Source organism: Homo sapiens, chromosome 6 (genome assembly GCF_000001405.40).
Source record: "Homo sapiens chromosome 6, GRCh38.p14 Primary Assembly".
NCBI lineage: Eukaryota > Metazoa > Chordata > Mammalia > Primates > Hominidae > Homo > Homo sapiens.
In genome coordinates this window covers 135,471,733-135,496,965 of record NC_000006.12, presented here as the reverse complement: position 1 = coordinate 135,496,965, position 25,233 = coordinate 135,471,733, and the positions used below count along the sequence as shown (strand labels likewise).

At 37.0% G+C, this 25,233-nt stretch overlaps 1 protein-coding gene across 23 annotated transcripts in view; it reads left to right on the top strand.

The window, feature by feature from the left end:
• AHI1 (Abelson helper integration site 1) overlaps window positions 1-25,233 on the top strand; it is a 214,209-nt gene that overhangs the window by 775 nt on the left and 188,201 nt on the right. For 11 of the 23 annotated variants that reach the window (XR_001743480.3, XR_007059277.1, XR_007059278.1 and 8 more), the window contains 3 exons: window positions 1,068-1,152; window positions 4,675-4,738; window positions 6,219-6,343. Coding sequence is in view for 19 of the 23 variants with exons in the window: in XM_011535911.4 (XP_011534213.1) it covers window positions 4,729-4,738; window positions 6,219-6,343 (135 nt within the window). In the remaining 4 variants the exon portion in view is untranslated. Of the gene's footprint in view, window positions 1-1,067; window positions 1,153-1,256; window positions 1,428-4,674; window positions 4,739-6,218; window positions 6,344-25,233 lie in introns of all 23 variants that reach the window. The other 12 variants (XR_007059276.1, XM_047418943.1, NM_001134830.2 and 9 more) reach the window with 2 other exon arrangements.

Sequence of the window (25,233 nt, the reverse complement as noted above, 5' to 3'; positions counted from 1 at the left end):
TTACTGCTTGGGCGTTAGGAGGAAGATTGCTTCTTATGAGTACTCTGGGAAATTTTTTAAAGAATGCTTGAAAGAAATTCAAATACCAAAAGTGTTTTTAAACCATACCTAGAATCTTGTTTATGAGGAATAATATTTATGAAGTTAGAATCTTGTTTACTTATGAAGAATCTTGTTGATTTATTCATTGAATTTTGTATACAGGATTTTTGTTTGTCTTTTTTTCCCTTGCGATAACATTTGGTTAAGGAGCGAATTATCAAGCCTCTCAGTTTTTTCTCCCAATGATATTGAGCCACATATTGGCTGATAATCAGGTTGTCTGTAAAATAAAATGAGATGAAATGTAATCCATTTAATTTTCCTGTGTAATATCTCTTAGACGCTCCTGTGAAAGGGTTTGTGAGGGAGAAGTTGTAAAATAATGGAATATATAAGAATCAGAGGTGTCTTTTAAAGTCCTATCTGATTTTTTGCAGAGGTTACTAATCAAATATTAGCCGTTAATTCTATCATGTTTGCTGTAGTACATATTAAGATTTAGAGATGGCTGAGCGCAGTGGGTCACGCCTGTAATCCTAGCACTTTGGGAGGCTAAAGTGGGTGGATCACTTGAGGTCAGGAGTTCAGTATCAGCCTGGCCAATGTTGGTGAAACCCCATCTCTACTAAAAATACAAAAATTAGCTGGGTGTGATGGCCCACACCTGTAGTCCCAGCTACCAGGGAGGCTGAGGCAGGTGAATTGCTTGAACCCAGGAGGCGGAGGCAGCAGTGAGCTGAGATTGTGCCACTGCACTCCAACCTGGGCAACAGAGCGAGACTCTGTCTCCAAAAAAAAAAAATTAGAGATGATTTCTGTACTGTATTTGCTGTGTTATCATTACATAATATTAGTATTTATTAGTTTAGTTGTGTATTAAGCTGTTAATAGTAAATAAGTATATGATTTATATATTTTATTTGTAATTATTTACTTATTTTTAATACAATAATAATGGACATAAAGTAATTTTATTGCAATGTACTGATTACTTTGCTTTTTGGTATTTTCTCTTCTCCTTACAGTACTAAAATAGGTGCCATTTTAAATTCCCAGACAAGGAAAAACCAAGGATTAGAAATTAAGTAGCTTGCCCAAGGCCACACATCAGTAAGTGGTGACACTAGAGCTCAAGCCTGAGTCTTTTTTACTCGCTTTGCTTTTGCTTCTCTTCACTTCGCTTCTCTCTTCTTCTCCTCTCTTTTCTTTCATAGTGGCAGATACATAACTATAAGAGAGCATTGGCTTGGTCCTCCAAAGCTAGCAGTTTGGTGGGAGTTACAGAACATTTTACCAGGGTGAAAATTCAAGGTTGAGGTAGAGGGAGCTACAAAGATTAAGGCACCCTGGAAGCACAGAAGAGAAGTTCTTAAATGCCCTTCAAGGTGAGAATGCTCTCTAGAGAAGATATCATTTGCCTTTAAAGGATAGTGAGGAGTTTGTTAGAGAGACAAAGGAGGAAGCACATTTTTCAGGGGAGGGGATATGTGTGTAATGATACAAAAGCAAGAGAGAACTTGGCACACGTGAAGGCCTGCAGGTAGTTTCACATGTCTGGAACACAGTGGATGTGTGAAGGGGACATTTCATAAATGGCCTTGGACCTCACTGGTAAGGACTTGATATTTTTTTCAATGTGCGATTGGGAGCTAGTGAAGAATTTTAAGCGAAGAAACGACACCATCACATTTGAATTTTAGAAAATTACACTAGTTGCTGTGTAGATGATGATTTTTTTTTTAAGGGAAAGGTGATAGCGGCGTGGAAACAATCTTAAAACAAAAAGCATAATCCTTCCACAGTGTTTTTGTCCCTCAGAGTTACTGTCTCATGTCACTGCCTTTGGGGGTGATGGGAAGACAGTTGGAAGAATTCTGTAAAGAATTGTCTACATGTCCCTTCTACAGGTGTCACCTTCCATTCATTCCTTAGCCCCAGCCTGCTAAGTTTCTGCCCCTCTATAAACAGCTTTGACACACGTGACTTCCTACTTGCAGATTCAGTGGACTTTCTTCAAAACCTCCAGCCCCTTTTGATGCCACACAGTATATAGGCAACATCTCCTTTAAAACTTGGGTTTGCTTCTGTAATGCTTCTATCTCCCAGTTTTTCACCTATCTCCCTGATTTTACTTTATATTGTAGGCTCACAGGATTCTCATTGGCTTTTTATTTTCTTGGAACTATCATATTTATAAATAACTCCCAAATCTTCAGCCTATTGTCTCCCTGCTGGATTAGTAGATTGCCTAACAAACATAATATGATTATATACGTAAACACACACACACGTGACAGTAATAACAGTTGTTGTTTTTGAAGGGCTTGCCATGTGCTAGGCATTGTGCCTAGTATTTTATTTGCATATTCTCATTTAATCTTTATAAAAACACTGTGAGTGATTTACTCTTATTATTGTGAAAGATTAGGAAGTTGATATCCATAGAGGTGAATCTGCTGGCAGATAGAACTGGTATTTGGATCCAAGGATCTGAAAATGGAGCTGATGCTTGTAGCTGCTCAGTGCCCTTCAGATACCCAACTCAACATGACCCATACTAAGCTCAGTGACTGCACCCTAACAACCTGTTACAGTTATAGCTAACATTTATTGTTGCTTCTTCTGTCTACGGTACTGTTCTAAATCATTTAACCCTTACAACAACCCTTTGAGTCGGCACTGGTAGGGTGTTTTTATAGATGAGGAAACAAAAGTCACGCAAGTGACTATGGAAACTAATTCTAGGACATGGATTTTAAACTACTGCCCTGTACTGCATTATATTACAGTGTAATGATACTACTAATCTACTTATTCTAGTTCTAGAAACATGGGAATTATCTCCGATTCTTTCTCCTGCCTCTTCATTAGTTATTTAATCTTTCTAAAATATTACCTCACTCCATCACCTGGAGCGCACTGGTGCAGTCTTGGCTCCCTGCAACCTCCACATTTCAGGTTCAAGCGATTTTCCTGCCTCAGCCTCCCCAGTAGCTGGGATTACAGGCACCCACCACCACGCCTGACTAAGTTTTGTATTTTTGGTAGAGATGGGGTTTTACCATGTTGGCCAGACAGGACACAAACTCCTGACCTCAAGTGATCCACCCGCCTTATCCTTCCCAAGTATTGGGATTACAGACATGAGCCACGGCGCCCAGCAGGCTTTTTTTTGATGAATCATAGTCATAATATAGGTCAGCTTTTTCCTGGCCTATTAGATGACCATCGAGTAGTATAAATATTAAATTTTTATTTGTTTTATGATTTTTCTACTTCCGTGCTCTCAGGTTTCAATTACTCATGCTGTCATTGCACTTGCCTTTGCAGCTTCTCTTTTCTAATTTAATATAGACTAGAAAGTAGAAGACTAGATTTATTAAATTTATAACTGCTAGAAGGAGTAAATACAGGCTCCTATCACTAAAGTATAGGAATTTTTACTCCATGGATTTAGTGATGTCTGTTTTGACTGGGTGCCACGTAGTTGTTGCCTAAGTTAACTGACATAGTTAGGTATGTTTACATAATCATTCCTTTCTTTTTAGAATTTCTTAGACATTTCTGCAAGAGGAACATGAATGTGGATGTCCAGGGAATTGGAGCATTAACCAATAATGCCTTGGGCCCAGTGTGGTGGCTCACGCCTGTAATCCCAACACTTTGGGAGGCTGAGTCGGGCAGATCATATGAGGTCAGGAGTTCAAGACCAGCCTGGCCAACATGATGAAACCCTGTCTCTACTAAAAATACAAAAATTAGCTGGGTGTGGTGGCGCACACCTGTAATCCCAGCCACTCGGGAGGCTGAGGCAGGAGAATCGCTTGAACCTGGGAGGCGGAGGTTGCAGTGAGCCGAGATCACACCACTGCACTCGACAAAGGGAGACTCCATCTCAAAAACAAACAAATCAATAATTCCTGAACCAGCTTTTTTTTTAACACTCTTCAGTTTTAGTCTCAAAAACATGCATATTACATTCTAAATGTTCTAATGTGAGAATATGTTCATTTTAGACATACACCGATTTTTTTAATAAAATGGGCAATTTAGTAATATACATACTGAGTTGAACCATGGTTTTGAGTAGTTCTGACACAGTAATACACATCCAGGTTTTATTAAAGAAAGATGGTGCAAATATTTGTACTATCCTTCTCTATTGTAGCAGAATTTTCAGTGGCAGACACAGAGGTATTTAAATTCACTGTGAGTGTGCTACCCACAAGCATGCTTTAATGTAATATTGAATGCTCTTAGGAAAGTCAATCCTGAGATGGAGTTTGGTTTCTTAAAAGTGCGTTGAAATGTTCATTAATGTATTAAAACACTTTAAAAAGTTTATTAACATACCACATTAGATGTGCACTGCCTTCAAAATGTTTTTTTTGTTTCAAATATATAAATACTTTATTCAGATATGATCTAGTTTGTTTCCCTTGATTTTAGAGCCCTAAACTGATTCAAATGTACCCAAGTCATTTGCATAAGATTGGGTTAAGGGAACATAGCTTTATTGGTATAAACTTAATGAAGTAGTGGACATACAATGGCATGATCTTGTGTGAAGAACGTTTTATAATTTTTATTTGGAAGTTCCATATTACAAATACATCTCCTTTGTTTCGATAGGATCCTGATTGAGTCAATGCTTTGCATTCTCAGTCCTCTGCATAAAGCTGAGAGATGCCTACAGGTAAGACTTCTATGAAATTTATGTATAAAATTTATATTTTATACATTTACTTTTAAGTTTGGTTTATTTTAAGGGATTCTTGAACAGATTAATGAATACAGTAGATGTCATTGACCAAATATACTACATTTAGAGATACTTATTGGTTTTGTATTCAGTTTTCTATTTAATATTGTGATTAAGGTTAGTATGTATTTAATGGATGGTAGTTTGGGACTCAGATGGACAAGGTAAATAATGATTACAACATAGGGTTAGTTTTTATTCTTTATCATCAAAATTGAATGTTTTACTCCACCACAAGCATTGGCAATCTTTTCTAAAAGGGCTAGCTAGTAAATATTTTAGGCTTAGTCTCTGCTATAACTGCTCAACTCTGTCTCTCTGTCTCTTTTAAAGCATGAAAGCAGTTATAACAATTCTTAATCAAATGGGTATGTCTGATTTCAATAAATCTTTACAAAAACAAGTGACTAGCCTGCAGGCCATAGTTTGCCGACACTTGCTCTAGAGCACCCATTCATTCAGCATTTATTAATTTAAAACATAATGACTATGTACACTATGTCAGACCTCATAATAGTAGCTGGGGATGTAGTTATGGGGGAAACAGAAAATATGTTTCTTTATATAGATATAAAAATAATTATATAATTTCCATTTGGGTTGAGTGCTGTGAAGGAAGAGAACAACCTGCTATGTGAGAAAAGGGAAAATTAGATGAGTTTGTCAGGAGGTGTTTTATTTACAGGCAGCATTTAAACAGACAGGTTAACACCAGCCAGGTGAGGAATTAGAGGAAGCTTGCCTCAGAAACAGCTTCATGTGGGAAGGAGCTTGCTGTGACGGAGGAGCTAAAGGAAGGGTATTATAGCTAGAACATAGGCATCTAAGGGGATATTTGTCTTGATTTGAAGCCCTGGAGATAGATCAGGAGGTATGGAGCCCTGTAGGGCATATAAAAGACTTATTTTATCCTAAATGTATTGGGAAATTTTCAGGGGCTTAAGCATTATCTTCTTCATGTTTTAAAGGAAAAACCTGTTAATATTTGTGGAATACTGATTACAGGCTAGGCACACCTTAGCCATTTTTCATGCAAAATGATCTTTGGCATAAGATAATTGTGATTTTACAGATAAGGAAAATGAAGTTTAGAGATCTTGAGTAACTTGTCTAAAGCCACATAACACGTAACTAACAGTGGTAGATGCTACTGTTTATCAGAAATAAAAAGTTAACTTAGCAAAGGAGACTTTTAGAGTGAGTGGCCAAAAAGGTCAGAGGGATACAGGTGAATGTTGTGTCACTAAAGTCAAAATAAAAAATATTTTAAGAAGGAAAGATAGGTGAGTTTTTCTAATGTAGCTAGAGAACTCATGCCGATATTTACAAGAACTTATTTCTTAACATCCTAGTAGTGTAGGTTGTGTGTTATGATAGAGTCATTTACAAAATCACATGGCTGTATCTTTTGTAGCTGAGAGTGAAGCAAAAGTAAAAACCAAAGTTCGCTTTGAAGAATTGCTTAAGACCCACAGTGATCTAATGCGTGAAAAGAAAAAACTGAAGAAAAAACTTGTCAGGTCTGAAGAAAACATCTCAGTAAGTAAATGATCATTGGGTAATAGTGATTTACATATGCGCATAAAATGCAGATATGGCTGCATTTTATGTTAAAATTCTAAGGAATTTTGAAAATTAAAAACAGTAACACTATGTCATGGTCAATAACATGTGGTAAAAATAAAGTTTATATTAGAATCAACATCACTGTGAGAATATTGACTTCATTCTTGAGTGCTGTCCTACAGGAAGAACACACACACAGTGGGGAAAATGACCAGAGATAGTGGGGAAACTCAAAACTAGCCATGATAACATTTTTGAAGAAAATATTTTTAACCCAGAATTGTGAAGAACTTAGGAAGTAGTATCTTAACTTCAGATATTGAATAGCTTGTGCTTATTTAAACTATTTCTGTGTGATTCTACCCAACAGAACCAGGAGAAATCAATGGCCGTATGGTAATAATTATCCTTTTATGTTTGAGGCACACTTTCAAATGATAGAATCTTTGGCAGCACACTTGAAGGAATTAAAAATACAGTGCTCAAAGACTAAGCAAATCAGCAACTAACTACAACCTGATCCCCTTGGAATCATAAAGAGTCTGTATTGGCATCCACAGTTAATGCTCTATGCCCTCTTTATACCTATCTCCCTACTTGAGTTGCACTTTTTACTACTTTGACCATTATCTCTTCTGTCCTCACAGAAAAAAATAAACAGGCTCTTGTGTAAATGGTACATAGTTTTTTTTTTTTTTTTGGCAGGAGTTTTATAATGAGTTATAATCCTACATTTTGCTTGTAGTAAGATTTACCCCATTTTTTCTTAAGACCTGTTCATTTTAGTATTCTGTCTGGCAGATGTCAATGTAACAATATAAATTCTGAAGTGAGGCAAAAACAAGTAGTAAAATTGACCAAAATCCAGCTGCACATATGTGAGGGTTCATAGTGTATACACTGGTGTACGACTGCACAAAAATTTCGAACTACTGACAGAATGGACAGATTAGCACTCCCATAGTGATTGCTGCTCTGAAATAGCATGTGCTTTTTCTGGTGGTACTAGTGCACAATATGGTAGGGAATAGTGACATGGAGGATGAAACATTGCTTATTGATATATGCGCTCCCCTCAGATGGAGTGGTTTATGTTGGGCAAAAGCAAAAAGAACCCTGGAAACAGTTGTCTGCAGAGATGTTTTATGCTCAGAGAAGAACCTCATATTGTCTCTTAGTATTAAAGAACTGGGAGTTGTGAGCCATGAACAAAATGCAATTTAGACCAAGGTTTAAATTAAATGGATAATCAGAATAGGCAGAGGCTATGTCCATTTACCTAAGGTCCAGTTTAAATGTTGAGGGGCACATAAGTGTGAGGTGACTAAGCATAATTTATCCAGCCTCTCTTTGCAAACACCAGGACTGAATAGGCTTCTTTTCTTTCAGAAATAAGTACACTAGGAACAAATATTTGGGAAGATATTTCGCAGCTCAAAAGAACAGGAATATTTCTAAAGGACTTAGAGGAGAACAAAATATTTTTGACATGATTAACTTGAGGAAGTAAAAGAGGAATAGCTGCTTTCATTTGCTAGATGCCTTAATGCTTTCTATCTTTAGGCACTCTTCTAAACACTTTATATATATTTAGTCGTTTAATACAAACGACGAAATTACAGGGTTTTATTTCTGTACAGGAGAAAACTACATCAGAAGTTAAGTAACTTGCTGAAAGTTACATAGTAAATGGTAGAACCAGGATTCAAACACTGAGTGGAAGTGCAGAATCCACTGCCTTAACCACAACCCAATATTATCTATTTTAATGAAATTTGAAAAGATAGGACTTCTTCTTGAAAGAAGAACAGGGAGTCCTATGTACAGAACAGGCTGAGATGAGAAATGGAGCAGTCTGAAATAAAATTAAGCGAGGAAAAAAGTCAAAATAGGGATTCATAATAATGGCAGGTTCATCTTATATTCCAGTTATATATAAGGCACAATAATAAGAGTTTTACAAATATTATTTCTAAATCTCATGTTAATCATGCAAGATAGATATTGGGATTCTTTTTTTGCACATGAGAAATTTTATAAACAGACAAACAGACATGTTAGGTGATTTCCTTAGGTCATTTAGTCTAAAATAGGATAAGTGGGATTTAAGACCACAGTCTCTGCAATTTTAAAGTTCATGTTCTTCAGTTGCTTCCTTAAAACTATATCTCAGGCCTAAAATGATGGAATTGACACTACGGAAAAATCTAATCAGTGAAGTGGGAGACAAATTCGAGGTGGGAAGAAATGACCAAAACTAAAATGAAAGAAATAAATGATGAGGACATAGAAAGATATTTGACCCACAAATAAGTATCCCGGGACAGTACTAGTGGAGCAGAAACAATAATGAGCATGATGAAGAAACCTTGCTGAGATTTCTGAAGAGATGAGTCATCCTGCATTCCAGGCAAAATTTATGAGATGAGAACTATATCTAGAAAATTCTTTTGTTTGTATCTTAAGAGTCAAATATTGCAGACACCTAAACACAAAAACATATAGTACATTTGAGACTTCTCTGTAAAAACACTAAATCCAAAAGACAATGGAGAAATATTTAGAGCACTAAGAGAAAAATTGTAGCCTGAGGAATCTGGTCACCTAAGTTGTCAGTCATTTGTGATGGTAGTTGTAAACATATGTGCATTATTAGAGAAATATCAGTGTTCCCTCCCTGGAAAAAAAAAAAGATTTAAGATTTATTAAAGATGTAGTACCATTTCTAGATATGAATCAAAGTTAAGAATTTAAGAATAGAACATCTTAAGATCTTAGAGGAAGGGATGAAGAGAAGTTGGTTAAGGAGTACAAAAATATAGTTAGAAGGAATAAGTTCTAGTAGTCAGTATTACAGTAGGGAAATTACAGTTAATAATTTATTGTATATTTCAAAATAGCCAGAAGAGAAGATTTATGTTCCCAACATAAAAGATAAATGCTTGGAGTAATGGGTATCTCAGATGCTCTGATTTGATTATTATACACTGTATATGGTGTCAGAATATCACATGTACCCCCAAAATATGTACAACTATTATGTATCAGTTAAAAATTTTTTTGATGGGAAATTTATGATCCAAAAATACCATTGGATGAACTTTGAAATCAGTTAAATATGTAGAACTTTCTTAATTATTATATATGTCCAGAATAATTCCTGAAGATTTTACATTAGATATATGTATATGATAATGTGAGAGAACAGAACCAAATTGTTTTCAAAGATTGAGCAAAGCATCCTAGCTTAGGAAGAAAAAGTCACGTAACCATTACTCTTGTCCCTAGCGTATAGTTAAAAGTTATTATTTCATCCTAGAGTTTGAAATAAATAAAACAAGTATATATATAAAATAGATTATTACACTTTCTAAGTTGTCAGAGTTAAAAAAATTAAGTGAGTTTTTTTAAAAGAATGTAATGAAATAAGAAATTTAAGTAAGAGCAAACTGAGTCATGACAATAAATGTAAATAGTTTAAGCTTCCTATTTTAAAAAGTGGGTTCAAAAATAGACTTTTAAAATATCAGGACCAGGCATGGTAGCTCATGCCTGTAATCCCAAGACTCTGGAAATCCAAGGTGGGAGAATTGCTTGAGTGCAGGAGTTCAAGACTAGCCTGGGCAACATAATAAGATCCTGTCTCTCAAAAAATAAAAACTTACCTGGGCATGGTGGCATGCGCCTGTAGTCCTAGCTACTTGGGAGGCTGAGGTGGGAGGATTGCTTGAGCCTGGGAAGTCGAGGCTGCAGTGAGCCATAATCATGCCACTGCATTCCAACCGGAGTGATAGAGGGAGATCCTATCTCAAAAATAATACTAATAATAAATAAAATAAAATATCAGGTATTTTACTTGCAAGATTCACACATTAAACAAAATGACATAAAGTTTAAAAGTAAAAGTGTGCAAAAATATAGACAGTTGTCTATGTTTTTCTTCCTGAAAAGAAACTTATAGCTGTCTCATTTATGAATGTGTGTTGAGAACAAAAAACTCTATATAAATATATGAACACATTGAAATTAATCTTGTTAAAAGAATAACCTATCTCAGCCAGATAGTTCCCCCCAAGAACTGCTTAATAATTGGATATCAGTCAATATTAAGATGTTAGTGCAAATAAATTGAATAAAACCATATAATATAAAAATAACAAGGAAAAAAGCTATCATATTTTAATTGGAAATAGGATAGTAATGGATTTTTTAGAACATTGGTGTTCATGTGTGTTAAAACCATACATGTGAGCAACAAACCTAGAGCATGCTGTGGGGTTCTAGGAAAATTTAAATCCACAGTATACATGGTATATTATGTATGATTTCGATAGTTTTCCATGGGTCCCTTTGGAAAGGGAGACACCTAGCCTACAGGTTCTTCCTTTAAAATCAGGACCTGCAAGGGAAGATGTCTTTTCATCGTAACTGTTTAATAATCTTGAAGTAAATATGTTAAGGCATGAAACATAAAGATATGATAGCTTTTTTCAATAGGTATTTGTCCATATTTGTTGCATAGCAGGCACCATAATAAGTGCTTTACATGTATTAACTCATCTAATTCTCACATGCATCCTATAAAATCAGTATAAACTGAAGAACTGAGGCACAGAGGTTAAGAAATGTACCCAGGATCATATAACTAATAATAGTGAATCCAGGTCCTACTGATTCTATGGTGATGTGCCTGCCTTGGCCTCCCAAAATGCTAGGACTACAGGTGTGAGCCATAACAGGCTCCCTGTTATGCCAGTGTGTAGTGTACAGTGTGGACAAATAATGTGACACTTAGTGAGGAGAACAAATGATCATTATTGATGGTTTGAATGCAAATATTAGAAAACCTATGTGAATCAACCTGTGTGAACAAAATAAGTATACAAAATTAAAGATTATAGCTAGAAACAATAAGAAAATATTGGAGAAAAATACAAAAATTAACAGATAGATATCACCTACATAGAAACTACAAAAGTCCTGAAAGATCTTAAAAGTAAATTTTCCAAAAATACAGATTCAAATAGAAAAAATTTATTAGTAGATATTACACATAGGTTGCACTTTATATATACCAGTTGTTTCCAGATTAATTTTTAGGTTTAATCCAATTGTAATGGTTTCCAGTGGATGATTTCTTTAGTTGCAAAATTAGGCTAAAGTTAATGCAGAAAAATACAAAAGGAAGATTAACTGAAATATTTAAATATTTAAAACAAAAGGCCAGGCACAGTGGCTCACACTTGTAGTCCTAGCATTTTGGGAGGCCAAGGCAGGCAGATCACTTGAGGCCAGCAGTTCAAGACCAGCCTGGCCAACATGTTGAAACCTAGTCTCTACTAAAAATACAAAAAATTAGCCAGGCATGATGTTGTGTACCTGTTATCCCAGCTACTTGAGTGGCTGAGGCATGAGAATTGCTTGAACCCGGGAGGTGGAGGTTTCAGTGAGCCTAGATCATGCCACCTCACTCCAGCCTGGGCTACAAGAGCGAAACTCTGTCTTAAAAAAAAAAAAAAAAAGAAATTGTACATATAATTAATAAATATTATTGTTAGGTTGCTTTAGCTTTTGAGGGAAGGAATTTTATCTCACAAACTAAAAATTACATTTCAGATAACTAACAAACTTAAATGTAAAAATCTAATAGGCAGATATTTCCATAAGAAATTAAAAATGGCTGGCTGGTTTAACATTCCAGTGTGGAAAGATATTCTGTTCTTAAAAGGGATAAAAGACCTCCCAAATAAAGACAGCATTTTCTGCCTGCACACAGAAGACTCAATAAGTATTTGTTGAATGAATGAATAAATCTAATGTATAAGTTTTTTTTTTTTTGGTCAAAAACCAACTCACTGAGAAAAATATGTAATATTTTTATAGTCATAGCATTAATAGTCTTACATATAGCTAGTGATAATAATTGCTAATACTTATTGAGCAGCTACATAATGTGGAATAAGAAGGACCTTCTGAGTATTTTATAATTATCCTATAATCCTTGGAACAAAATTATGAGTAAGTTTCATCCCTTTTGTTAACTTGTAAAGAAGTTGCATAAATTGATGTCATAAATATTAAGATAACAGCTAAGTGAGCAAAAGGAATGAAAAAATAAAACCAGATACAAGAGAAAATAACATTGACTAATAAAATGTAGTAATATTTTAAAAGAGATTCAGATTGGAATACCAAGATATTTTTGCTTATCAAAAAGGTATTTAAAAGTTTATTAGTAGTAAGGTAGCGAGCAAGGCTTTTTGGTAGAATGCTGGTAGAAAGGTAACAGTACAACATGTGACATGGTTTGGCTGTGTCCCCACCCAAATCTCATCTTGAATTGTAACTCCCAAAATTCCCGTGTGTCATGGGAGGAACTCAATGGGAGGTAATTGAATCATGGGAGCAGGTCTTTCCCATGCTGTTCTCATCATAGTGAATAAGTCTTACAAGATCTGATGGTTTTAAAAATGGGAGTTTCCCTGCACAAGCTCTCTCTTTGTCTGCCACCATCCATGTAAGATGTGACTTGCTCCACCTTGCCTTCCACCATGATTGTGAGGCCACAGCCATGTGGAACTTTAAGTCCATTAAACCTCTTTCATTTGTAAATTGCCCAGTCTCAGTTATGTCTTTATCAGCGGTGTGAAAATGGACTAATACACTGTCTTTGAAGTGGTTCAGGTTTTTCCAGCAGTATTCAATAGCCTGGTTATAATTATGGAAGTAAAGTTCACTAAATTTGAACAGTGCCTGCAGTTTTACCAGACAAGTGTATGGATAGGAAGTACATGAAAATGGCGGGTGATGATTGAAGTGATGGATTGTGGAATCAAAGCATCAGGAATTAGATAAGAGGGGCTTGATAAATAAAGAGAATATACTGGGCTCAGAGCATAATAAACTGCTTATTATTTTACACTGCTAAGTCTGGAGTGGTTTGATACTCAGCAATAGTAACTGGAACAAATAAATATAAATTGTTAAGAGTAAGCACTCAAATTGTAGCTATAATTATTTATGAAGTTGCGTATACATTCTTTTAAAAGGGGATAGTTGAGCCAAAATTTCCTCACTTTTATTGTGTATACCGTATTATCTTGATTTTATCCTCTCTCACTTTATTTTTATAATAGTTCTTTTGTAGAAGTGATAGCTTCTTCATCTTATGAATTACATTCTCTCAAACTTTTTGTTTTGTGCAGTGAATTGATTTTAAAAGGGTAGAAAATCTTCATGGTTTCCTAGGTATTAATAATATCTTTCATGTGTTCATTCACCTATATAAGTGCTGGCCTGGATTTAGCTTATAAATCTGTAATTACCTTGGCTGTGTCAAAAACAAGTTTAGAACCCTAGTGTTTTCAGGGGGTAACTAAATTTAAAAAGCCTTAAATGGGCTGGGTGTGGTGGCTCACACCTGTAATCCCAGCACTTTGGGAGGCCAAGGTGGGCTGATCACGAAGTCAGGAGTTCAAGACCAGCCTGGCCAACATAGTGAAACCCTGTCTCTACTAAAAATACAAAAAAAAAAAAATTAGCCAGGTGTGGTGGCAGGCAGCTGTAGTCCCAGCTACTTGGGAGGCCGAGGCAGGAGAATTACTTGAAGCCGGGAGGTGGAGGTTGCAGTGAGCTGAAATCTCACAACTGCACTCCAGCTCAGGTGACAGAGTGAGACTCTGTCTCAAAAAAAAAAAAAAAGCCTTAAATGGATTATACTGGTTGAAGTCATTTAACTGTATCCCAGAGCAAAGCCCAGCAGTATTTAAAGGATTCCCAACAAAATCCAGCCACCAACAATATAAAATTGATAATGTCAGATATTCAGTCAAATCTACCAGGCATTTAAAAAAAGAAAGATAACCCGACCCATTACCAAAAGATAAGTCAATCAATAGAAACAGACTCTAGGAGAGGAATAGGAAAACATAAAAAAGATGTAAAAGAAAGAAATAGAACATATTTTCAAAGACCAAATTATACTTCTACAGATTAAAAAAATAAAAGTATTCAAAATTTTAAATTGACTGTATGCAATTAGCATACTGGACAGTGCATTAAAATGATCAGTAAATGTCAAGAAATAACAATATAAATTACTCAAATCAAACAAACAAAAAAAAAAACAGTGGTGGGCTGGCATGGCCTGTCCAGGTTTATAAGAGCTGGTTGTTAAATATTAGGGAATTTTGTAAACTGGTTGTTAAACCATTAGTAACTTGAAATTGGCTATTTATGTGAATACTTACATCATGGAAGTTGGTAAACACTAGACTAGGCTTTTTGTTTATACTGCCCTATCCTTACTGGAGAGTTTAACAGCATACCACTAAAAAAGGCCTTTGGAATAGGAGTTGGAGAGGAGGAGGAAGAGAACACCAATGACCTATAGGACAATATTAGGCATTTTAACTTATGTGTACTTGAAACCTGAGGAGTGGGGACAGAATACATTGGAAGAAATAATGACTAAAAACTTTGTAGACTGTGTGGAAACAATACACCCACAGATCAGAGAAGCTCAACAGGTCATAAATGAAGAAATATGAAAAAATCATACTACAGTTTCTGAAAATGAAGGATAAATTGGAAATCTTAAAAGTAGCCAGAGAAAATAAAGACATTTTATATAGGAGAATAATGACAGCAGACTTCTCATCAGAAACTATTCTAGCTAAAAGACAATGGAACAATATTTTAAAATACTGAATGAAAAAAAAATTGTCAACCTAAAATTCTCGGTCCTCAAAAAGTTTTTATTTCGCCTTCATTTTTGCAAGATATGTCTCCTTGCAAAAATGAAGGCGAAATAAAAACTTTTTGAGGTGCACAAAAGCTGAAAGAATTTGTCAGTAAACCTGTAGTATAAAAAAGTGTTAAAAAAAAAAAAGGACAACAATACCAAGTGGAAATTTTGATTTACAAAAAAGAAGAGCACAACAAATAGTAAACGTGATATAGAAGGATTTTTCTCTTACTTAAAAATCTCTTTAAAAGATATTTTATAAAAGCAAGAATAATTAGGTTTTTTTAATAGGATTTATAATAAACGTTGAGTGTCCCTAATCTGAAATCCAAAATGGTCAAGAATCCAAAACATTTTGAGCATGAATATGCTCAAAGGAAATGCTCATTTGAGCGTTTTGGATTTTGAATTTTAAATTAGGGATGTTGAACCAGTAAATATAATGCAGATATACAAAATCCAAAGAAATCTGAAACACTTTTTGTCTCAAGCATTTTGTATAAGGGATATTCAACCTTTATTTGTAGAAGTAAATGATTTAACAACTGTCTTAGTTTTCTGTTGCTTATAACAGAATACCAGAAACGTAATTTATAAAGAAAAGGAATTTATTTCTTACGGGTTTTAAGGCTGAGAAGTCCAAGGTCAAGGATTCACATCTGATGAGAGCCTTTTTGCTGGTGAGGACTCTACAGTCCCAAGGCAGTGCAGAGCATCATATGCCAAGGGGGCTGAATGTGTTAGCTCAAGTCTGCTTCTTATAAAGCCACCAGCCCCACCGTTATGATGATCTAATCCAGCCGTCCCCAACCTTTTTGGCACCAGGGGCCAGTTTTGTGGAAGACAATTTTTCCATGGAGTGGGCCGGGGGGGATGGTTTCAGGATGAAAGTGTTCCATCTCAGATCATCAGGTATTAGTTAGATTCTCATAAGGAACGTGCAACCTAGGTCTCTTGCCTGCGTCATTTGTAATAGGGTTGTTGCTCCTATGAGAATCTAATGCTGCTGCTGATCTGACAGGAGGTGGAGCTCAGCCAATAATGCTCTCACCCACCACTCACTTCCTGCTGTGTGGCCTGATTTGTAAAAGGCCATGGACCAGTACTGGTCTGAGGCCTGGGGCATGAGGACCCCTGCCCTAATCTGTTAGCCCATTAATCCATAAATTGGTTAACCCATTGATGGATTAATCCACCCACGAGGGCAAAGTCCTCATTACTCAATCACCACTAAAAGGCCCCAACTTTCAATACTGCCAAATTAAGGACTAAATTTTAACGTGAGTTTTTGAGAGGACAAATGTTCAGACTGTAAGACCCACGTAGCACAAAGTATGGGAGGAAATAAATAGAAGTATACTTTTGTGAGTTTCTTTCTTCTTTTTTTTTTTTAAGACAGGGTCTTGCTCTGTCACTCAGGCTGGAGTGCAGTGGTGAGAGCACAGCTCACTGCAGCCTTCACCTCCTGGGCTTAAGCAATTCTCCCACCTCCACACCCTCAGTAGCTTGGACTACAGGTGCACACCACCACATCTGGCTAATTTTTGTTTTTTTCTGTAGAGACAGTGTCTCACTGTATTGCCCAGGCTGGTCTTGAACTTCTGGGTCCATGTGATCCTCCTGCCTTGTGTTCCCAAAGTGCAATTACAGGCGTGAGCCACCACGCCTGGCTGAATTTCTTAAAATGTATGTGAAGTGGCATTATTTAATGGTAGAAAATTGTATTAGTCTGCTCTCACTGCTATAAAGAGCTAACTGAGACTGGGTAATTTATGAAAAAAAGAGATTTAGTCACCTCACAGTTCAGCACGCTGTATTGGAGGGGCATGGCTGGGGAGGCTTCCAGACACTACAATAATGGTGGAATGGGAAGCAGGCACAGTCTTCACATGGCCAGAGCTGGAGAGAGAGTGAGCAAAGGGAGAAGTGCTACACACTTTCAAACAACAGGATCTCAGGAGAACTCATGAGAACAGCAAGAGGGAAGTTGACACCCATGATTCAGTCACCTCCCACCTGGTGCCTCTTTCAACATGTGGTAATTCATCATGAGATTTGGGTGGATACACAGAGCCAAACCATATCATTCCACCCCTGGCCCCTCCCAAATCTCATGTCCTTCTCACATTTCGAAACACAATCATGCTTTCTCAACAGTTCCCCAAGTCTTAACTTATTTCAACATGAACCCGAAATTCCACAGTCCAAAATCTCATCTGTCACAAGGCAAGTCTCTTCCATCTATGAGCCTGTAAAATAAAAAAAAAGTTAGTTACTTCCAAGATACAATGTGGGGACAGGGTTTGGGTAAATGATCCCATTCCAAAAGTGAGAGATTGCCCAAAACAAAGGGGCTATAGGCCCCATGCAAGTCCAGAACCCAGCAGGGCAGTCATTAAATTTTAAAGCTCCAAAATAATCTCCTTTGACTCCATGTCTCACATCTAGACGACCCTGACACAAGGGGTAGGCTCCCAAGGCCTTGGGCAGCTCTACCCTGTGGCTCTGCAGGGTACAGCCCCTGCAGCTGCTTTCACTGGCTGGCATTGAGTGCCTGTGGCTTTTCTGGGTGCATGGTGCAAACTATCTGGATCTACAATTCTGAGGTCTGGAGGACAGTGGCCCTCTTCTCACAGATCTACTAGGCAGTGCCCCTAGGCAGTGCCCCAGTGGAGACTGTGTGGGGGCTGTAACCCCTCATTTCTCTTCTGCACTGCCCTAGTAGAGGTTCTCCATGAGGGTTCCACCCCTGCAGTGGACTTCTACCTGGACATCCAAGCATTTCTATACATCCTCTGTAATCTAGGCAGAGGTTTCTAAACCTCACCTCTTGCCTTCTGCACACCCACAGGCTCAATACCACATGGAAGCTGCCAAGACTTGAGGCTTTCACCCTCTGAATTAATAGCCTGAGCTGTATCTTGGCCCCTTTTAGCCACAGCTGGAGCCAGAGCAGCTGGGACACAGGGCCCCATGTCTCAAGGCTGCACAGAGCAGTGAGGCCCTGGGCCTGGCCCATGAAACCATTTTTTCCTCCTAGGCTTCCAGGCCTGTGATAGGAAGGGCTGCTGTGGAGGTCTCTGAAATGAATTGGAGGCATTTTCCCCATTGTCTGTGCTATTAACATTTGGCTTTTCTTTATTTGTGCACATTTCTGCAGCCTAGAATTCCTCCTCAGAAAACTGGTTTTTCTTTTTAACCTCTTGATCAGGCTGCAAATTTTCCAAACTTTCGTGCTCTGCTTCCCTTTTAAATATAAATTCCTGCTTCAAGTCATTTCTTTCTTTATGCAAATGAGCATAGTTTTTTAGCAGCAACTAGGCCACATCTGAACACTTTGCTGCTTAGACATTTCTTTCACCAGATACCCTAAATCATCTCTCTCAAGTTCAGTGCTCTGCATATCTCTAGAGCAGGGTCACAGTGCCGCCAGTCTCTGCTAAAGTATAGCAAGAGTGGCCTTTACTCCAGTTCCCAATAAGTTCTTCATCTCCATTTGAGACCTCGTCAGCCTGGCCATCTCTGTTCATATCAGTATCTGCATTTTGGTCATAACCATTCAACAAGTCTCTATGAAGTTCCAAACCTTCCTGTCTTCTTCTGAGCCCTTCAAACTGTTCCAACTTTTGCCTGTTACCCAGTTCCAAAGTCACTTCCACATTTTCAGGTATCTTTATAGCAATGCCCCACTTCTCTGGTACCAATTTTCATATTAGTCCGTTCTCACACTGCTCTAAAGAACTACCTGAGGCTCGGCGCTGTGGCTCATGCCTGTAATCCCAGCACTTTGGGAGGCCAAGGTGGGCAGATCACCTGAGGTCAGGTGTTTGAGACTAGCCTGGCCAACATGGTGAAACCCTCTCTGTACTAAAAATAAAAAAAAAATTAGCCGGGTGTGGTGGCAAATGCCTGTAGTCCCAGCTACTCAGGAGGCTGAGGCAGGAGAACAACTTGAACCTGGGAGGCAGAGGCTGCAGTGAGCCAGGATCACACCACTGCATTCCAGCCTGGGCAACAGAGCGGAGACTGGGTAATTTATGAGAAAAGAGGTTTAATTACTCACAATTCAACAGGCTATACAGGAGGCATAGCTGGGGAGACCTCAGGAAATTTATATTCGTGGTGGAAGGTGAAGGGGAAGCGGGCATGGACTTCACATGGCCAGAGCAGGAGAGAGAGAGAGAGAGAGTGCGAAGGAGGACGTGCTACACACTTTCAAGCAATCAGATCTTGCAAGAACTCCATCACGAGAACAGCAAGGGGATATCCGTCCCCATGATTCAGTCACCTCCCACCAGGCCCCTCCTTCAACACATGGAAATTACAATTCAACATGAGATTTGGGTGGAGACACAGAGCCAAACCATATCAACAATGAGAAGCTAAATATGTGTATTATAAAACCTAGAGTCTTCATAAATTTGTTTTAAAAGGATAGCTAAAAAGCCAATAATGATAATGGAATCACAAAAATCTATTGAGAAAGATAGTTGGAAAAGAGGGCAGAGAGGGCCGGGCATGGTGGCTCACGCCTGTAATCCCAGCATTTTGGGAGGCCGAGGCGAGTGGATCACGAGGTCAGGAGATAGAGACCATCCTGGCTAACACAGTGAAACCCCGTCTCTACTAAAAATACAAAAAATTAGCCGGGCGTGGTGTTGGGCGCCTGTAGTCCCAGCTACTCCAGAGGCTGGGGCAGGAGAATGGCATGAACCCGGGAGGTGGAGCTTGCAGTGAGCCGAGATCACACCACTGCACTCCAGCCTAGGTGACAGAGCGAGACTCTGTCTCAAAAAAAAAGAAAAAAAAAAAGAGGACAAAGAGACAAAAAACAAATAGGACAAACAGAAAGGAAATAATAGAATAGTGTATTTAAACTCAGCAATATCAAGAATAATTTAAATGTGGATGGTCCAAATAAAAAGTAGAAAGTGTCAGATTGGCAAATAAGACCCAACTATATGTTGACTATAAGAAACTTGCTTTCAATGTAAGGGCATAGGTAGGTTAATATTTAAAGAATGGAAACATATACCATGCTAACACTAGTAAAAAGAAAACTGGAGTTGTTATATTGATAGCAGAGAAAGTATATTTTACAATAAAGAATATTGCCAAAGATGAAAAGGAATCTTTTTAATGATAAAGGTGTCAGTATCAAGGATATAACTGACTGTGTATGAAACTCATAACAAAGCTTCAAAATATGCAAAGCAAAAACCTATAGAAATGAAATGAGAAATAGATAAATCAGCAATTACAGTTAGATATGTTAGTATCCTCTTTCAGAAATTGATACAACAAGTAGTCAAAAAATCAATAAGAATGTAGATTTCAGTAACTGACAAATTTGAGTTGAGTTTTATGGGAACATTGTACCCAACAAACACAGAATACTCATTGTTTTCTAGTGCATATGGAATATTCACCGAGACAGACATCATTCTGGCCCATAAAACAAGTCTACATAGCTTTATTTTATATATAAAAATTAAATAAAAATTTTAAATGTAAAAGAAAATTTTAAAATAATACAAAATGTTTTCTTAGGCCACAACAGCATCAAATTAGAAATAGTTAACCAAAAGTTATCTGCAGTATCACCAAATATTTGGAAGTTCAATAAGACCCCAGATCAATGTATTGAAGAAGAAAACACAAAAGAATTAGAACATATTTTGAACTAACTAAAAATGAAATTACAGCATATCAAAATTTATGGAATGCTGCTGAAGCATTACTTAGAAGGAAACTTGTAGCATTACATTAAAAATGAGGAATGGTCTGAGATCCATCATTGAAGCTTTCACCTTAAAAAAGTGTGAAGAACAAATTAGACAAAATAAACACAGGATAGAAATAAGAAGAGTATAAATCAGTAAAATAGAAAACCTTCAGTAAATCCAAATGTAATTTTTTAAAAGAGTAATAAAATTGGTTATCATATGTGTTGGGGGTTTCCATGGCCACCCCCGGGCTTGATAATTCACTAGAGAGACTCACAGGACTCAAAAGCTGTTATACCCACACCATTTATTACTGTAAAAGGATACAGATTAAAATCAGCAAAGGGAAAAGGTGCATGGGACACAGCCCAGGAGAAACCAGGTGCAAGCTTTCAGGTACACCCCCCAGTAGAGTTGCAAGGGACTCACTTAATTCCTCCAACAACATGTGACAAAATGTGCAAAGTGTTGCCACCCAGGGAAGCTCAACCCAAGCCTTGATGTTCATGGTTTTGTGTAGAGGGCTATGTGGGCTTTGTGTAGAGGCAGAGCATTCAGTGCCTGTGTCACCGACCTCAGCTGCTCAGACTCCAAACCCCCAAAGCAAAAACACATGTTCACCATAAATCACATTGCTAACATAAGCTTTCTGGCAAAACTGTTACAGTGTGGCCCAAGGCTTCAGGCATTTAGAAACACTCTTATCAAGCACAACATTTCAAGGACTGGTCCTAAAAATATGCCCTTCTTGGGATTTGCAGCTTTTTAGCAACCCAGGCTCATGAATTAACTGTTTTCTGTACTACCTGTAACCAGGCTGATTGGGAAACAAGGAAAGAAGACGCAAATTGCCGATATCAGGATTGTAAGAGGGTATTCACTTTAGATGCTACAGACCTTAAAAGGATAATAAGAGTATTATGAGTAACTTTATGACAATAAATTTAGCAGTTTAGATGAAATGTGTAAATTACATGAAGGGCACAAACTACTGAAGCTCACTCAAAAAGAAATAGATAACTCGAACATTATATATCTTTTAAAAAAACGGAATCTGTAGTTAAAAATCTTTTGTCAAAGGAAACTACTCCCAGGTGGCTTCATTAGTAACTTTTCTCAAACATTTGATGAAAGAATAATGCCAATTCTATACAGACTCTTCCAGACTGTAAAATAAGAGGTGATCCTTGTCCACTCCTTTTTGTGGGCAATAATTACACAGCTGCCAAAGCCAGACAAAGATTGCAAGAAAAATACATACCAAAATCCTTTTAAATATAGATGGCAAACATCTTCAACAAAATATTAGAAAATCAATCTTATGAAAAGGATAATACCCCATGTCTAGCTGGAGTTTATGTCAGGAATATACTGTCAGTTCAGTGTTAGAAAAAGCATCCAATGTAATTCACCATATCCAAAGATTGAATTAGAAAACCATGAGATCATCTCAATAAATGGAGAAAAAAGACTTGACAACATTTATTACTCATTCTTAAACCAGCAATAGATGAGACTTGTCTAAGGTAATGAGTTATCTCAAGGGATTTTTCACAGTCAGTTACAGATTGAACTCCTTGTTCTACTCATACTCTCAGTACTGCATTTGACTAGTCTAAAAAAAAAAAAAGAATAGACAGTAACTTCCTCAACCTAATAAAGGGCATCTAAAAAATATGCAGCTAGCATCATGCTTAATGGCACAAAACTGAATGCTTTTGCTCTAAGCTGAGCATGTGTCAGTCACTGTGTGTATTCACAATTGTACTGGAGACCCTGACGAATGCGGTAATGCAATTTTTACAGGCATACAGATTGTAAAGGAAGAAGTAAACTGTGTATTCACAAATGACATAATCGTCTATGTTAATATCCCAAAAAAATCTACAAAAAAAGTGCTACTAGAAGTTACAGGTGGTTCTTATGATGGGATTATGTCCTTTTTAAACGGAAAGTATTGTAAGTTGAAAATATATTTAATACGCCTAAGCAACCAAGCATCAGAGCTTGTCCTAGCCTACCTTAAGTGTGCTCAGAACATTTACATTAGCCTACAGTTGTGCAAAATTAATACCAAGCCCATTTTGTAATAAAGTGTTGAATATCTCACATAATTTATTAGATACTGTACTGAAAGTGAATAACAGAATAATTGTATAGATACTTGGAAGTATGGTTTCTACTGAATGCGTGTTTATGCACCATCATAAAGTAAAAAAAATCATACGTTGAACCATCATAAATAGAACCATTGTGATTCAGGGACCGTCTGTATTAGGGAGCTTAGCAGAATATATGGTCAATGTGTAAAAACCAATTGTATTTCTATACCAGTAATGAATCACTTGAAATTAAATTTTAAAATTATAATAGAAAAAATGTGTAGCATTCAGGGATAAATTTATCAAAAATGTGCAAGAGCTGTACACTGAACCCCTCAAAGTGCTGAATATAAAGACCTAAGTAAATAGATATTCATGTTCATGGATCAGAAGAATCAACATTGTCAAATGTCCGTTCTCTGACAAATGATCTGTTAAATTCAATCCTAATCAATGCCAGGAGACTTCTTTTTCTTTAAAATCTAGATGAGAAATAGACAAATCAGCAATTACAGTTAGATATGTCAGTATCCTCTCTCAGAAATTAATAGAAGTAGTCAAAAAACCAGAAATTTATTGGGAACTGTAAACAACAGACCTAGAACAGCCAAAACAATTTTGAAAAGGAACAAAGTTGGAATTACACTTTCTGATTCAAAACTCATTATAAAGCAATAGTGATGAATACAATCTGGAATTGTCATAAAGATAGGCATATAAATCAGTAGAGCAGAATAGGGTATAGAAATAGATTCAAATATATATGTTCAATTGACTCTTAACAAAGTTGCCAAGGTAATTCACTAAAGGCAAGGATAATCTTTTCAACAAATGGTCCTGGAACAATCAGATATTCATATATAATAAACTTGGGATCATGTCATGTTTAAAAATTAACTAGAAGTGGATCAAAGACATATTTAAGAGCTAAAACTGTAGAACTTATAAGAGAAACATAGGATAATTGTAACCTTGGGTTGAGCAAAGATTTCTCAGGATACAAAAACATGAACCATAAAAGAAAAAAGGGCTAAATTGGACTTTGTGAAAATTGAAAGCATTGCTACAAAAATGAAAATATTTTATAGCTATAGGTTTAGATAAAATATTTTTAAAGCACTATCTGATACAATGTTGTATCTAGAATATTTTAAGAGCTCTTACAGCTCACTGATATGAAAACAAACAGCCTAATTAAAAAGGGCAAAAGATTTGGACACTTAACGAAAGGACAGCTATAGATAGCAAATAGACACATGTAAAGAGTCTTGCTGTCATAGTAATTAGGAAAATGCAGTTTAAAACAATACTGAGGTACTATTGCACACCTAATACAACAGCTACAAAACAAAAATTGACAGTATTAAGTGCAAACAAGGATGGTAAGTAACTGGAACTCTCTTAGAAATTGCTGATAAAAATGCGAAATAGTACAGCCAGTTTGAGAAGCTGTTTGGCAATTGTTTAATAAGTTAAATATCTGTTTACCATGTAGCACAGCAATTCCACTTCTGGGTATTTACCCAACAGAAATGAAAACATATCTAATACTAGCACAAAACTGGAAATAATTCACATCTATTAATTGGTGTATGGAGAAACAAAATGTGGCATATAACTGTACAATGGAATACTACTCCACAAAAAAGGAATAAACTGCTATGAATAAAGCAACATGGATGAATCCTAAAAGCTTTGTGCTGAATGAAGGAAACCAGACACAAAAGGCTATAGATGGTATAATTTCATTTATGTGAAAGTCTAGACAAGGCAAAGCTATTGTGATACCAGATCAGTGGTTGAGTAGGGTCAGAGCATGGAGGGAAGGCATTGACTGTGTAACAGGACATGTAGAATGATGGAAATGTTCAATGTCATGATTATGGTGGTGGTCACATGACTGCATACATTTGCCAAAATTCATTTAATTATACAATTAAAATTGGCAAATTTTATTGATGTAAGCTATATCTTTTTTTTTTTTTTTTTTTTTTTTTTTTTTTGAGACGGAGTCTCGCTCTGTCGCCCAGGCCGGACTGCGGACTGCAGTGGCGCAATCTCGGCTCACTGCAAGCTCCGCTTCCCAGGTTCACGCCATTCTCCTGCCTCAGCCTCCCCAGTAGCTGGGACTACAGGTGCCCGCCACCGCGCCCGGCTAATTTTTTGTATTTTTAGTAGAGACGGGGTTTCACCTTGTTAGCCAGGATGGTCTCGATCTCCTGACCTCATGATCCACCCGCCTCGGCCTCCCAAAGTGCTGGGATTACAGGCGTGAGCCACCGCGCCCGG